Consider the following 16593-nt stretch of genomic DNA (forward strand, 5'->3'; position numbering starts at 1 on the left):
TTTTCAGGAACGACACCCTTTAAATCCAAACCCTTTTTTTTTTTTTTTTTTTTCTCTGAGACAGAGCCTCCCTCTATTGTCCAGGCTGGAGTGAAGTGGCATGATCTTGGCTCACTGCAACATCTACCTCCCGAGTTCAAGTGATTCTTCTGCCTCAGCCTCCTGAGTAGCTGGGATTACAGGCGCCTGCCCTCACACTCAGCTAGTTTTTGTATTTTTAGTGGAGATGGGGTTTTGCCCTGTTGGCCAGGCTGGTCTTGAACTTTTGACCTCAAGTGATCTCCCTGCCTCTCGAGCTCCCAAACTGCTGGGATTACAGGTGTGAGCCACTGCACCCGACCCAAACCTACAACTTTATGTGTACAATAATAACTCATGTTTGAAAGCAAAATATTTACCTTAGAAAAGGAAGGGTAAATGTGTTATCAGAAAGGCTTTATTTTACTAGTAATATTCCTTGTAACTATTGGTGCCTGTAATAGTCTAACATTTTAAGAAATAAATAGAAGAAAAAAATGACAAACTTTCTTTTTAATTTTTATTTTTTAGGGTGCTGGGCACAATCTGGGCTAACCCAAGGAAGCCTCAGTGAAAAATGAGAAACTTTTTTTTTGTTTTTTGAGAAGGAGTTTCGCTCTTTTTGCCTAGGCTGGAGTGCAATGGCACAATCTCAGCTAACTGCAACCTCTTCCTCCCGGGTTCAATCGATCCTCCAGCCTCAGCCTCCTGAGTAGCTGGGATTACAAGCAAGCACCACCACGCCCAGCTAATTTTGTATTTCTAGTAGAGGATGGGATTTCTCCACATTGGTCAGGCTGGTCTTGAACTCTCAATCTCAGGTGATGCGCCTGCCCTAGCCTCCCAAAGTGCTGGGATTACAGGCATGAGCCACTGCGCCCGGCCGGCAAACTTTATAAACAATGGTAAGTGGAGGGACACATGAGACTGCACTTTCTGCCCATTCATTGTTCTAAAATACTTCATAATTTTCAAGATGTTCTCTTAGACATTATCATACTAAATTTCAAGTAGACAGAACAAGAAAGGTAGAGATGCTGATATGTTAAACTTGATGCACAGGAAGGTCAGTTACTTGTTTCAGCCCATCCAACCAGGAGGGGATGGACTGGAAACAGAAAGACCAGCTCCGGACTTCTTATTCTGCGTTTGCTATGCAACAATGTTTCATTGTGGGGAAAAAAAGGAATGTAGGAATAACAACCTAAGCTATACTGATTACATTATCAGTTCTTGGATGTTCATGAAAACCCAGGAAAAGAGCTCCATATTCACTGTAAATGCTTTTCTGAAAACACTTTCCCAGTAACTTGCTATAATTAAAAATATTACTAGGCATCATGAGTGAGATTAATTCAAACATATCAATGCAAAATCTTATTATTCTTTCATGAATAATTCATGAAATTTTGATTGCCATGCTAAGAAGTAGAAAACTATATATGTAAATTTAGGATTTAAGAACTAAAATTAAATTAAGGAACTATATTAGCAAGAGGATGGAAACCTTTTGTATGATAATAGACTTAAAATTGGACTCCAGTTTGAAATGTTTAAAATTAAAAGAGGTCATGTATAATAAAGTAAAGGATTAGGATCAATTTCTTTATCTGTAAAATATAGGACTTGGGGCCGTGCACAGTGGCTCACGCCTGTAATCCCAGCACGTTGGGAGGCCGAGGCAGGAGGATCACGAGGTCAGGAGATCCAGACCATCCTGGCTAACACAGTGAAACCCCGTCTCTACTAAAAATACAAAAAGTTAGCCGGGCGTGGTGGCGGGCACCTGTAGTCCCAGCTACTCAGGAGGCTGAGGCAGGAGAATGGTGTGAACCCGGAAGGCGGAGCCTACAGTGAGCAGAGATCGCACCACTGCACTCTCGCCTGGGTGACAGAGCCAGACTCCGTCTCAAAAAGAAAAAAAAGTATGAATATAAACACGTTTATATGAATATAAAACATGCAGGTTTTATATGATAGATCAGAACTCAAGGGAAATCTGGAATTAGTTACACTGGAAGCAGGACCTCCAGGGCTATCTGCCACTAGTGCTCGGCCTCTGTAGGAACATCAGAAGGCAATCAGAGCAGTATTGATCTCAGTGGAACACTGCACATTCATGCTTGTCGACCTCACTGAATCTCTAATTCCAGTTTGTGGATATCTTTAAGAATACATGTTCTGTAATGTAGAATATTAATTAACTTCATATCACCAGGCGTGTTTGATAACACTGCTAAACAGCATAGAGCTCTGTGGCAAATTATTAAATTTTACTCCCCATGGGCAATGATACATTTATTACAAAAATCAATCTTTGGATAATATTTCCTCAGTAACTCTCTTAGCCATTATAAATATACTGTTATCAATCACATTTATTCCTGTCATTTCTAACAGAATAGGATGATTCTGCCCAATGTATTACTAATCCAAGCTGCAGTCTTCCTTCTGACTTACACTGCTTGGCCAGTCCGATAGTCTCATCCATTAATAAGGGGGAAGTGGGTTAAACATGACATGACTTGTCCTTGATACACACATGCTAGGTCTCAGAGATCACTGTGTCCTCATCTCACACCTTCTGAATGCAATCTCTTTCAAATAATCCAGTCTTTAATTTCATTTTTATTTTTCTTTTCTTTTTTTTATTTTTTGAGATGGAGTCTCGCTCTGTTGCCTAGGCTGGAGTGCAGTGGCACTATCTTGGCTCACTGCAACTTCCGCCTCCCAGGTTCAAGCAATTCTCCTACCTCAGCCTCCCGAGTAGCTGGGACTACAGGCATGCACCACTATGCCTGGCTAATTTTTGTATTTTTAGTAGAGACAGGGTTTCACTATGTTAGCCAGGCTGCTCTCGAACTTCTCACCTCAGGTGATCCACCCACCTCAGCCTTCCCAAAGTGCTGGGAGTACAGGTGTGAGCCACTGCACCCAGCCCAGTCTTTTAATTTTAATACTACTTCTGCCATTAACATCTAACTCACAATTTAGAATTCCAAACACTATTGTTCCTTTCCTGGAAACTTAGAACGTTTACACATGTTCATCTCCCTGGAAATTGCCATACTCTCCATAATTGTCAGAAATTACCTACCATGATTGAATCATTATGTATGCTGTGAGCCAATACATGTGAAGGTGATAAGGCAGCCGTTACCCAGATCATTCTTTTCTCAAAATACAGCCCTTGATGAATCACTCTCATAATTTGTTTTTCATTTTTGAGCTACAACATACTACTTTGGTGATCTTTGGCCTACTTGTGCACCATCTATTTATTCTTTACTTAATATTTATTTTTCCCAAAATATTTTAATTAAATAAATGTATTATGAAAAGAAACTTTCCATCTACTATAAATGGAAACCCAGTACCACAAATAGAGAATAACTTTAAAGATAAATAAAATGAATACAAAATGACTCATTAAATGCTGATCGAAGTGCCTGCTGAAAACACTAAGTCTTTAACCTGCTCTTTGTTATTAAAAATGGAGATCAGTAAATTTATGAGAAAATGTATATCCTTTAATGATTTCATCCAGAAGGAAGGAAAGCTAAAAATTAATGAGTTAAGTATCCATTTTAAGAATTTAGGAAAAAGGCCGGGCGTGGTGGCTCACGTCTGTAATCCTAGCACTCTGGGGGGCTGAGGCTGTTAGGTCACCTGAGGTCAGGAGTTCGTGACCAGCCTGGCAAACATGGTGAAACCCTGTCTCTACTAAAAAATACAAAAAATTAGCCGGGCATGGTGGTGTGTGCCTGTAATCCCAGCTACTTGGGAGGCTGAGGCAGGAGAATCACTTGAACCCACTAGGCGGAGGTTGCAGTGAGCCAAGATCACGCCACTGCACTCCAGCCTGGGGGACAGAGCCGACTCCATCTCAAAAAAGGAATTCATGAAAAAATGTCTTGGGGATAAACCCAAAGAAAATAGGAAATAAAGATGAGAGCAGAATTAATGAAAGAGAAAACAAAGATACAATGGGGACTATCAGCAAAAATAAAAGTTAATTCCTTAAAAACACTACTAAAATTGGCAAACTTGTGGAAGATTGATTAAGGTAAAAGAAAAAAAGTCAACCGGGCACCGTGGTTCACGCCTGTAATCCTAGCACTTTGGGAGGCCACAGAGGCCAGATCACTTAGGCCCAGGAGTTCGAGGCCAGCCTGACCAACTTGGTGAAACCCCGTCTCTACTAAAAATACAAAATTAGCTGGGCGTGGTGGCGCATGTCTGTAGTCCCAGCTACTCGGGAGGCTGAGGCAAGGGAATTGCTTGAGCCCGGGAGGCAGAGGTTGCAGTGAGCCAAGATCGCGCCATTGCACTCCAGCCTGGGCAACAAGAAACTCCATCTTAAAAAAAAAAAAAAAGTAGAAGGGAACTTTTTTAAAGGGCAAATTAAATGGCAAATCTCATGCTTAGCAGTGATAAGGATATTTCTTGATCTCTATTTTTACTCAGCATGTTTTGGAGGGGGCAGCCAGAACAAGACAGAAAAAACAAAGAGGAACAGGGAGGAGGGGAAGGAAGAGGGGAACAAAACCATCACTATTCATGGATAGAGTATTCAAAAAAATTCATACAAACTGACAATGTTAATAATAGATTTTTTCAAGATTACTGATATAAGTTAAATTGCATTTCTACATACCAGCAAGAGTTTAAGAGAAAAGTATGTGTTAATGATAGACATTTATCAAGCAAGAAAAAAATGTTACCTTGGAATAATTATAATGAAAGAACTTACATAGGAATTTTAAGAAGAAAATCTATGAACTTTAATGAAAGACATTAAAAAGACCCTTTAAAAATGGAGTTATGTACATGATGAACCAGAAAATTAAATATCATTGAAATGTCAACTCTCCTCAAATTGATCTTGTAATTCAAAGCAATTTGAATCAAAACCCCAGCAACCTTGCAGAATAAAAACACAATAACCAAAGACACTACTTAAGAAGAAGAGGGAAGACTTGCTCTAGAAGATATTAAGCTTTAACATGAAACCATAATAATTATGTGGCATTCGCATGGGAACAATCAAAGAGAGTAAAAGGCTCAGAGACAGACCCTTGCATTAATGAGAACCTGATACATGAGAGAGGTATCAGCAGGGTTTAGTGGGGGAAAGCTGGGCCATTCCAAAAATGTTACTGGGGCAAGTGGTTAACTATATGGAAACAAGCACGAAAATTTATCTGAACCCCATACTGTGCACAAGTATCAATTCTAGATGATTAAGCACATAAGTGAGAAAATCAAACCTTAAAAATTTTAGAAGGAAGTGGAACACAATATCTTTATGGCTTCAGGGTAAATAAGAATTCCTTTAAAAACAAATAGAAAGCAGTAACCCTCAAGGAAAGGATTGTTAAAATCAAACTACAAGGCCGGGTGCGGTGGCTCACACCTGTAATCCCAGCACTTTGGAACACTGAGGCAGGCGGAACCCCTGAGCTCAGGAGTTTGAGACCAACCTGGGCAACACAGCAAAACCCCATCTCTACAAAAAATACAAAAATTAGCCAGGCATGGTGGCACGCACTTGTAGTCACAGTTACTAGGGAGGCTGAGGTGGGAGGATCACTTGAGCCCAGGAGGCAGTCTGCAATGAGCTTAGACTGCATCATTGCACTCCAGCCTGGGAGTAAGATTCTGTCTCAAAAAAAAAAAAAAAAAAATTCAAGTTACATTAAAATTAAGAATTTCTGCTCACCTAAGGCAAGCTATATAAAATAGAAGATATTTGCCACACAGCAATCAGCAAAAGTTTTGTGTTCAGAATATAGAAAGAACTCTTGAAAATAAAAAAAGAAACAACCTAAGAGAAAAGCAGAAATTGGGGAACAGGCTCTAATTTATATTTATCTTTCATATGGATAATACCTTCATTTAAATATAATACAAAGACTATCTCTGCTTGTAATGAAATAGTAATATACATTTAGTTCAACTTAATTTTTACTGTTTTCAACTACAGAAGTGCTTTTTGTTCCTTAATAATTATATGCTTAACATTATACAAGATTTTTAGACATATATGTTTGTTTCCCTTGTATATAAATTCTCATCTGATGTTTCCACATTTGAGTGCTTCAGTATAGCACCCATTTCTTTTTTTTACCTTACATGGAGTCTTGCTCTGTCTCTCCAGCTGGAGGGCAGTGGCTGATCTCTGCTCACTGCAACTTCCGCCTCCTGGGTTCTAGTGATTTGCCTGCCTCAGCTGTCTGAGTAGTTGGGCTTACAGGCACCTGCCACCAAGCCCAGCTAATTTTTGTATTTTTAGTAGAGAGGGGATTCACCATGTTGGCCAGGGTGGTCTCAAACTCCTGACCTCAAGTGATCCCCCTGCCTCAGCCTCCCAAAGTGCTGAGGTTAGAGACCTGAGCCAGGGTGCCTGACCAGAATATCATTTTTTGATCTAGCATTGCATTTGTGACTATCAAGGTGCCCATGGGTTTGTCTCCATGGGCGCCGCCCTCTTCCTAGGAGAGTAGGTGGGGAGTTTCTGTGCCCCCTCCCCCACCACGGGAAACTTGCCCTCTTGCACACGTGGTGCGGAAGGCGCCATTTTGGCCCAGTTGGTGCTGAGTAAGATGTTCTCGCTTCTCTGCTCAGGGCATGAAGATCTGGGGCAGGTGCAGGACTTGGGGCCCCAGAGAGTGCCACAATCGACTGCCCGTGGGAGTGGGCTGGTGCCTGGGAGCAAGAGCGCGGCCGTCCGGCGCCTGTGTGAGCCGACAGGGCAGCTCCGCCAGGGAACCAGGGGCCCGTCCCTCTGGGGTCATGGGCGGACAGGCACGGGAGCTGAGAGAGGGGACCGGGCCTAGGCCACAGGCCCTCCAAGGAAGCCACAGAGCCAGCTAGTGGCACCCAGGGACTGCGGGAAGCTTCGGCAAGGTAAGCTCTGGCAGGGTAAGCTCGGGACCAACATGGGTTTTAGTGTCTTTTCCTAGTGGTGGGGAATTTCTACAAGGTGGGTAGGACGTGTTAAGGGTGGCCTTAGCAATTTGTAGGCCTAGAGGCCGTCTAGGAGAGGCCTGCAGTTCAGAGTCTCAACAGGGCTTGATGGGGCCTGCCATTTCATTTCGCAATGTGGTTCCTAATGTTTCTTGGGAAACCGGGCGTGTTATGTCTCCATGTCACCCTTTACTTCTTGGATTTCTTGGTGTGCGTGGTTGCCTTTTTCTCTTTTCTTATATTGCAATTTCGGGTCCCACATTTTCTTCCATTCGAATCTGTGCGTCTTCTATGCAAAGCCTGTGGTGGGTCTTGCTCTCGGACTAGTTGAGCAGCATTGCACTCGTGTTGGTTGTGGGAGTTTCATCGTTTCTGTGTGTGTTCAGCATTCTGTTGCGAGTTCCTTATCTTCAGAATGATTGAGAAATGTAGTTTTCAGTTTTAAAGAATATATATTCTTTGGGGAGGTGATTTTATTGCATTTGGCCAGAGAATATGTGACCATTCGGTCACTGAGGACTGGTGTGTACCCCTAGGGACGCAGTATCCACCTGGAGACTGGGTGTCCCCATGGAACCTGATGTCACTCTGGGCCTAGCTGCCCACATGGGTCCTTGGTGTCCACCTGGAGCCTGATGTTCCCCAGGGACCTAGGTATCCATTTGGGTCCTGATGTTCATCTGGGACCTGGTGTTCACCTAGGGCCCGATAGTCACCGGGGGACTGGGTATGTACCTGGGGCCTCATGTCCACCTGTGGTGTGGGTATCCACGTTGGGCCTGTGTGTCAATCTGGTGCCCCATGTCCACCTATGGATTAGATACCCAACTGGGGCCTGCTCTTCATCTTGGACTTGGTGTTTACCTGGAACCTGATGTCCAGATGGGGCATAGATTATCTATGTGGGGACTGGTGTCTAGATGGGGTCTGACAGTCAACTGGGGCCTGGCCTGGTATTTTCCTGAGGTGTGACTGTGAACCTGGGGACTAAAGTCTACCTAGAATCCAGTGTCTACCTTGGGCCTAATGTCCACCGGTGGCCCAATGTAAATCTGGGCACTAAAGTCTACCTAGAATCCAGTGTCTACCTTGGGCCTAATGTCCACCTGTGGCCCAATGTAAATCTGGGGACTAAAGTCTACCTAGAATCCAGTGTGTACCTTGGGCCTAATGTCCACCTGTGGCCCAATGTAAATCTGGGGCCTGGTATTTAGCTAGGGCCTGGGTATTCACCCAGGGCTTGATTTCAGCTGGGCCCTGAAGTTCTCCTAGTGCCTAGTGTCCACCTGAGGCCTTGGTGTCAGTCGGGAACTGGATGTCCACCTGGGGCTTGAGTGTTTCCCGGTGCCTGAGGACTTCCTGGGCCTGGATGTTCACATGGGACCTAGATTGAACCTGAGGCCTGATGTTCATCAGGAGCCCAGGTATCCACCTGGGGAGTGGTGTCCACCCAAGACATTTGGAGTCAAGTGTCCACTTGAGGCCTCATGTCCACCTGGGGCCGGATTGTCCATCAGGGACCTGTTTTTGACCAGGGACCTGGGTATTTACCTGGGGCCTCAGTGCCCACTTGGGGCCTGACATCCACTTGGGTGTTGGTGTCCACCAGGAGCCTAATGTCCACCAGAGTCCTGGGTATCCTCCTGGCACCTGGTGTCTGCCTGGGGCCTGGTGTCCACCTAAAGTGTGGGTATCCACCTAGGACCTGGTGTGCACCTAGGGCCTTTGTCCACCTTGGGCCTGTTGTTCCTCTGGGGCCTTGTGTCCGCCTGGGCCCTGGGTGTGAGCGTGGTACCTGATATCCACCTGTGGCTTCCATAGCCACCTGAGGCCTGGTGGTCATTTGAAACCTGGTGTTCTCCAGGGGCCTGATGTCAACCTGAGGTGTAGATATCCACCTGGGTCCTGGATGTCCAGCTGGGGCCAGATGTCCAGCTCTGGTCTAGGTATACCCCTGGGGCTTGATATTCACCAGGGGTTTAGGCATTTACTTGGCACCTAGTTTCCCTGTGGAGTGTGCCGTCCCATGAGGATTGACATTCAGCTGGGGACTGGGTATCTACCAGGGACCTGGGTATCCACCTCAAGCCTATTGTACTCCTGGAACCTGAGTATTTACCTGGGGTCTGATATGCACCCAGGCCTGTTGCCTACATAGTGTCTTATGTTCCCCTTGAGCCTGAACGTCCGTCTGAGTCCTCGGTATCCTCTGTGGGATGGCTGTCCACCTGTGACATTGTGTCCTGCTGTGGCACGGATGTGAGCCTGGTGCCTGATATACATCTTAAGTCCAGTGTCCACCTGGGGCCTGATGTTGACCTGGGGACTGATGTCCACATGGGAACTGGGCATCCACCTGCGGCCTGATGTCCACTGGGAACTGGATGTTGCCCTGGGGTCAGGGTATCTACCTGGAGCGTGGTGTTCACCAGGGGCCTAGGCATCCACCTGGGGCCTGTAGTCTACCTGGGGCTTCCTGTCCACTGTGGCCCTGGTATTTACCTGGGGCCTGGACATCCACTTGAGGCCTGAAGTTTAAGTGGGGCCTGGTGTTCAACGGGGGCCCATGTGTCAACTTGGGAACAGACATGCACCGAGATGCCTGATATCCATCTGGGGCCTGGTTTCCACCTGGGGCCTAGTATTTACCTACGGCCTGGGCGTCCACCTATGGTGTATTATCTAAGTATCTAAGTAACAACGTTTGAGAGGTTATTAGGCCTATATATGAACATGCTACTAACTAGAAAAAAGTTATGTGCAAAGGAGCTTTGTGATGTACCTTATTATATTGTTGAATGGAACGTAACTTTTCATTAAACAAGTTCCTAACACATTTTATAGAATCTAACAAATGAGATTTCAGAGGCCTATATATAAACATGAAAATTCAGCCCAATAACTAAAAACAAGCCATGTGAGAAGAAGCTTTGTGATGTGCTTTATTATATCACTGAATGTAACCTGTGTTTTTATTAAAGAAGTTCCAAACACACATTTTATCGTTTTATACAACCTAAGGAATGACATTTCAGAGGCTGTTAGGCCCACATGTGAATATACAAATATTCATCCTTAATAACTAAAAACAATCTGTGCATGAAGAAGCTTTGTTATGTGGTATTTCAGATCACTGAATGAATGGAACCTGTGTTTTTATTAAACAAGTTCCAAACACACGTTTTATAAAACCTAAGGAATGACATTCCAGAGGCTATTAGGTCTTATGTGAATATTTGAATATCCATCTCTAATAACTAAAACAGTCTGTGTGCAAAGATGCTTTGTGATGTGGTGTTTCTTTTTTTTTTTTTTGAGACGGAGTCTCACTCTGTCGCCCAGGCTGGAGTGCAGTGGCACGATCTCGGCTCACTGCAAGCTCTGCCTCCTGGGTTCACGCCATTCTCCTGCCTCAGCCTTTGGTGTTTCATATAACTGAAAGAAACCTGTGTTTCTGTTAAACACATACTAGAAACATGTTTTGTAGAATCTAACCAATGACATTTCAGACATTGTTAGGCCTATATATGAACATATGAATATCCAGACCTATTAACTGGAAAAAAGCTATGTGCGAAGAACATTTGTGATGTGCTTTATTATATCACTGAATGAAATGTGAGTTTCCATTAAACAAGTTGTAAAAACACGTTTTGTAGAACCTATTTAATGAGATTTCAGAGGCAATCAGGCCTATATATAAACATATGAAAATCCAGCCTTAATAACTAAAAACAAGCTATGTGAGCAGAAGCTTTGTGATTTGCTGTTTTATATCAATGAATGGAACCTGTGTTTTTATTAAACAACTTCCAAGCAGACGTTCTTTAGAACCCAGGGAATGACATTTCAGAGGCTATTAGGTCTATATATGAATATACGAATATCCATCCCTAATAACTAGAAACAATCTGTGAAGAAGCTTTGTGATGTGCTGTCTCACATCACTGAATGGAACCTGTGTTTTTATTAAACTAGTTCCAAACACACATTTTTTAGAACCTAAGGAATGACATTCCATAGGCTATTAGGCCTATGTATGAATATACAACTATCTATCACTAATAACAAAAAACAATCTATGTGCGAAGAAGCTTTAGGATGCACTGTTTTATATCACTGAATGGAACAAGCATTTCTGTTAAACAAGTTCCAAAAGGACGTATTGTAGAATCTAAGTAATGACATTGCAGAGATTATTAGGCCTCTATATGAACCTACTAATATCCAGCCCTAATAACTAGAAACAGCTATGTGCAAAGAACATTTGTGATGTGCTTTATTATATCGCTGAATGGGACGTGAGTTTTCATTAAACAAGTTCCAAACACACATTTTGTGGAATCTAATTAATGAGATTTCAGAAGCTATTAGGCCTATATATAAACTATTAGGCCTATATATAAAAATACGGAGCCTTAATAACTAAAAGCAAGCTATGTGTGAAGAAGCTTTGAGCTTTGGGATGTACTATTTCATATGAATGAGAAGAACCAGTGTTTTTGTTAAACAAGTTACAAGCACTCATTTTTTAGAACCTAAGCAATGACATTTCAGAGGATATTATCCTATATATGAATATACGAGTATCCATCCCTAATAACTAAAAACAGCTTTGTGATGTGCTGTTTTATATCACTGAATGGAACCTGTGTTTTTATGAAACAAGTTTCAAACATGTTTTGTAGAATCTACAAAAATGACATTTCAGAGGTTATTGGGTTTATATATGAATATACACATATCCACTACTAATAACTAGAAACAAGCTATGTGTGAAGAAGCTTTCTGATGTGCTTTATTATATCACTGAATGCAACTGGAATCTCCATTATACAATTTCCAAACATATGTTTTGGAGAATCTAAGAAAGGAGATTTCAGGCCGGGCATGGTGGCTCACGCCTATAATCCCAGAACTTTGGGAGGCCAAAGCGGGCAGATCACCTGAGGTCGGGAGTTCGAGAGCAGCCTGGCTAACATGGAAAAACCCCGGCTCTACTAAAAATACAAAATTAGCCGGGCATGGTGGCGCATGCCTGTAATCCCAACTACTTGGGAGGCTGAGGCAGGAGAATCACTTGAACCCGGGAGGCGGAGGTTGCAGCGAGCCGAGATCACGCCACTGCCCTCCAGCCTGGGCAACAAGTGGGAAACTCTGTCTCAAAAAAAAAAAAAAGGAAATGAGATTTCAGAGACTATTGTACCTACATAGATTTTCAGCCCTAATAATGAAAAACAAGCTATGTGAGGAGAAACTTTCTGATGTGCTGTTTTATATAAATGAATGGAACCTGTGTTTCCATGAAGCAAGTTCCAAACACATGTTTTGTAGAATCTCAGATATGACATTTCAGGGGCTATCAGGCCTATATATCAACATATGAACGTCCAGTACTAATAACGAAAACCAAGCTATGTACAAAGAAGCTTTGTGATGTGCTGTTTTAAATCACTGAATGGAACCTGAGTTTCCATTAAACAAGTCCAAACACAGGTTTTGTAGAATCTAAACAATTACATTTCTGAGGTTATTAGGCCTATATATGAACATGTGACTATCCAGCTCAGTTAATTATCATGAAGATATGGGTGAAGGAGCTTTGGGATGTGCTTTATTATATCACTGAATGGAACCTGTTGTTTCATTGTATCCATCGGGGGCCTGGGCGTGAGCCTGGTGCTTGGTGTACACCTCAAGTCGAGTGTCTACCTGGGGCCTGATGTCCATCTGGACACTGGTGTCCACTTGGGGCCTGACGTCCACCTCGAGCTGGATGGTCCTCTGGGGTCAGGGTGTCCACCTGGGGCCTCCTGTTCACCTTGGCCCTGGTATTTACCTGGGGACTAGACATCCACTTGGGGCCTATGTGTCCACCTGGGACCTGACATACAGATGCCCGATGTCCATCTGGGGCCTGGTTTCCACCCGGGACCTGAATGTACCTGGGACCTTGTGTCCACCTGGGGCCTGGTATTAACCTGGGCATCCACCAGGGGCCTGGTGTCCACCTGGGGCCTATGTGCCAAACTGGGACCTGATGTTTATGCAGGGACTGGAGTCCACTTGACTAGGGCCTGGCATCAACCTGGTGTCTGATGTCCAGTGTCCACCTAGAGTCCAGTGTCGTTTGGGGCCTGATGTCGTGCTGGGGCCTTGGTGTCCACTAAGGCCTTATGTCCATGGTGGTGGGGAAGAGGTGGGAATCCTTGTCCCCATGGGCCCTGCCCTCTTCCTGGGGAGAGCGGGCAGGGAGTTTCTGTGCCCCCACCCCTCAACATCCAGGAATTCACCCTTCTGCACATGTGGTGGGGAAGGCGCCATTTTTGCCCACTTGGTGCCCAGTTAAGTTGCCCCGACTGCTCTGCTCAGGGTGTGAAGATCTCAGGTGGGTGCTGGACTTGGGGCCCCGAAGCTCCACCCCGCCTGACTCCCTGCGGGAGTGGGCTCGTGCCTATGAGCTAGAGCATGGCCGCCGGGGGTCTGTGTGACAAGGCAGAGAATATTAGTATATACAAAATTTTTATACAATTGGAATGATACTGGTAGTAAAATTAAAATGCAATACAATAAGATTACCTTGCAGGGGCATGGTATTTTAGATTTGTTAAAGTGATTTCATAGGGATGATCTTATTTCAGTCTCATAACAGCCTAGTGATTTGGTAGGGAATTGTGAATTTCATTATACAGAGAAGGAAACTGGTGTCCAGAAGAGTCCAGCAACAGCCCATACTTCGTTTAAATCCCGGTGGCTCCCAGCTCTTACTTATTCCCCACGACTGAGTGCCTGACACAAGTATAGGACTTCAGTGAGCCCAGAAAATCTGAGACAGGTCTCAGTTAATTTATAAAGTTTATTTTGTCAAGGTTGAGGACGCACCCCTTACACAGCCTCAGGAAGTCCTGATGACATTTGCCCAAGGTGGTCAGGGCACAGCTTGGTTTTATACATTCAGGGAGACATGAGACATCAGTTAGTATATGTAAGAAGTACAGGCCAGGTGCAGTGGCCCACGCCTGTAATCCCAGCACTTTGGGAAGCCAAGGCGGGCAGATCACCTGAGGTCAGGAGTTCAAGACCAGCCTGGCCAACATGGTGAAACCCCGTCTCTACGAAAATACAAAATTTAGCCCGGCATGATGGTGGGTGCCTGTAATCCCAGCTACTCGGGAGGCTGAGATGGAAGAATTGCTTGAACTCGGGAGGTGGAGGTTGCAGTGAGCTGAGATGATGCCATTGCACTCCAGCCTGGGTGACAGAGTGAGACTCCGTCTCAAAAAAAAAAAAAAAAAAGAAGTACATTGGTTTGGTCTGGAAAGGGGGGACAACTTGAAGCAAAAGCAAGAAGACTGGAAGTGAGTCAGACAGGTGATACACAAGTGGTTGCATTCTTCTGAGTTTCTGATTAGCCTTTCCAACGGAGGCAAATCAGATATGCATCTATCTCAGAGAGCAGAGGAGTGACTTTGAATAGAATGGGAGGCAGGTTTGCCCTAAGCAGTTCCTGGGTTGAGTTTTCCTTAGTGATTTTGGGGGCCTAAGATATTTTCCTTTCACCCCCTCAAACCTCATTTCCTTCTTCCTCCTTCTCTTTCTTTTCAGAAGAGGAACGCTGCTTCTACCCTACCATTTGGGGAGTAGCACCACCTGATGGAAGAGAACATTCTTCGGTCTTCTCCTCACCATGGCTTGAGAATCGCATAATCTCGCTGTGCCCAACTTTCCTCATCCCTAAACAGGGCCAGCTTGCCTTATCCATGAACTGTATCACCGCAACACCAAACTGAGCTGTGTTCTAACAGCATTTAGTCAACTGCAGACGGTTTTTGCAAATATTAGATGCTACTACTTTTGCTGATCTAATATTTTTTAACACATGAAGTGACATGAAATGTGTTCATGATACTCTCTGCCCACTGATTCATGACCTCCTCTCATGCTTCAGGGGTCAAAACAATCAGTGCTGTCCAGCAGCTGTTAGGGACAGGGGCTCCCCTCCTCCCCAGCTTGGAACCTCAAGCCACTGCCCACAGCTAGCAAGCAGATGTGCCACGCAGTGACCTCTTGGCCTTCCCAGCAAAAATATCCTATTTTGGCATATGGGCTTGACCCACAGTAGGAAAACTTGGCACTACTGTACATATGATCTCATTTAAGGAGTAGGAAGATAAACATGCCAGCTGCACTTACTCACTGATGGGAAAAGTTCTTTGAGTTACACAGTTTCAAACAGGAACAGCCAGGAGACTGGGGACTTAAATCATAACTATTGTATAAATAATGGGAGCTGTTCCCTGAGCTAAACGCCGCCCTTTGGCAGAGGTAGAGCCTTTTGGCAGAGGGAGGCAGGAGAAGAGTGTGGGAAGTGAAGAAGTTCCTGAGGTGACAAAGTGAATTGCACCGGAGAGAAGGGGGGATAAAGCTGCTTCCCAGAAACTAGGACAGCAACACCTGGCTGGTCCCCGAGGACGAGGACGGGACAAGAAAGGCCTCTCCTGCAGGAATGAGGTTAAAATACAATCAGGAACCACACGAATACTCTATCTCCTCTGATATGCTGTCTTGTCTGTTTGTTTAAGAGTGTCTTTGGGACTAGTAAAGCCCCTCTTCCCTGAAGGATTCCTTCGCTTTTCATAGTTTTCAGTGCTGCCGTGTTCACAGACACGCCTCTGCAGCTGCACCTGGCAGAACAGCTTGAGTTTCCCTAGAAACGCTCTTTGAGAAAGGAATAGAGGCAGAATTGCCCTTGGTGATCTCCTAAGAAATGGGGTCCATGTTCATCTGAAGATGGGAATGAAAAATTCATCCTTTTGGTTCAACCAAATTCATACATGGCCAAATCCTCTGGAATATGGTGAAAGCTGACCCTTGAAAGCCGCTATCATTACAAAAACAAGGAGCCAAATGCAGACAGACTTCAGGCCCACAGAACGCCTCCATGGGAATTATCAGCGAAGTAATCATCTCACTCTCCTAACTTCAGGAGAAAATATGAGTCAGCAAAGACTAAATTGGTTTAAAAATAGAATATTTGCAAAATGGAAAAGTCGGATGAATTCACGCTATAAATCAATAGACCTTTAAAGGTAAGGCACAGCAAGCATTTTGGATGACATTAATGAAAGACCTGTGTTGGCATAGTGTGCTGCAGGAAAGGTCGGGGGTCACCACAGCCAGTACCAGACCTTAAATATAATCCTGAAATTAAATATGTACGTAAAATAGTTTCTAGAGCACAAAAGGTGAAGGTAAAGGAGAGTGCTACTGATCTTTTGTGTGTGTGTAATAAAGATTTCGATGTAAAATGTACAACAGAAAAAATACTGTATTTCAATAATAAGAAAAATATATAAATTATTCCCCCAGTGCTCCAAATCCCTTCTGTGTCATACAAATCTTTCTCATCTACTTTGCTGAAAGTTGCTCAAGAATATCTTATTCACCTTTGACTCTCCTACTTAGGTTTATGGATACAGAAAGTATTCAATAAAGAGTGAATAATTTAGTCTCTTTAGCCAATTTACAGATAATAAAACTACACATATTTTGTATGTAGTTTATCTGGCCTCAGATTCTAGCTTGTCAACTGGCAGAGCTAATTGT

The 16593-nt window shown here is 43.9% G+C and overlaps 1 protein-coding gene and 1 long non-coding RNA gene across 9 annotated transcripts in view; one reads left to right on the top strand and one right to left on the bottom strand.

Moving 5' to 3' along the window:
- Nucleotides 1-16593, bottom strand: part of SACS (sacsin molecular chaperone) — a 104873-nt gene that overhangs the window by 83545 nt on the left and 4735 nt on the right. The gene's annotated exons all lie outside the window — the stretch shown is intronic.
- On the top strand, nucleotides 6597-16495 carry SACS-AS1 (SACS antisense RNA 1). The gene is made up of 2 exons (NR_103450.1): nucleotides 6597-6927; nucleotides 14593-16495. It is a non-coding gene; the product is annotated as an SACS antisense RNA 1 (long non-coding RNA).

Source organism: Homo sapiens, chromosome 13 (assembly GCF_000001405.40).
Source record: "Homo sapiens chromosome 13, GRCh38.p14 Primary Assembly".
In the NCBI taxonomy this organism is placed as follows: Eukaryota; Metazoa; Chordata; class Mammalia; order Primates; family Hominidae; genus Homo; species Homo sapiens.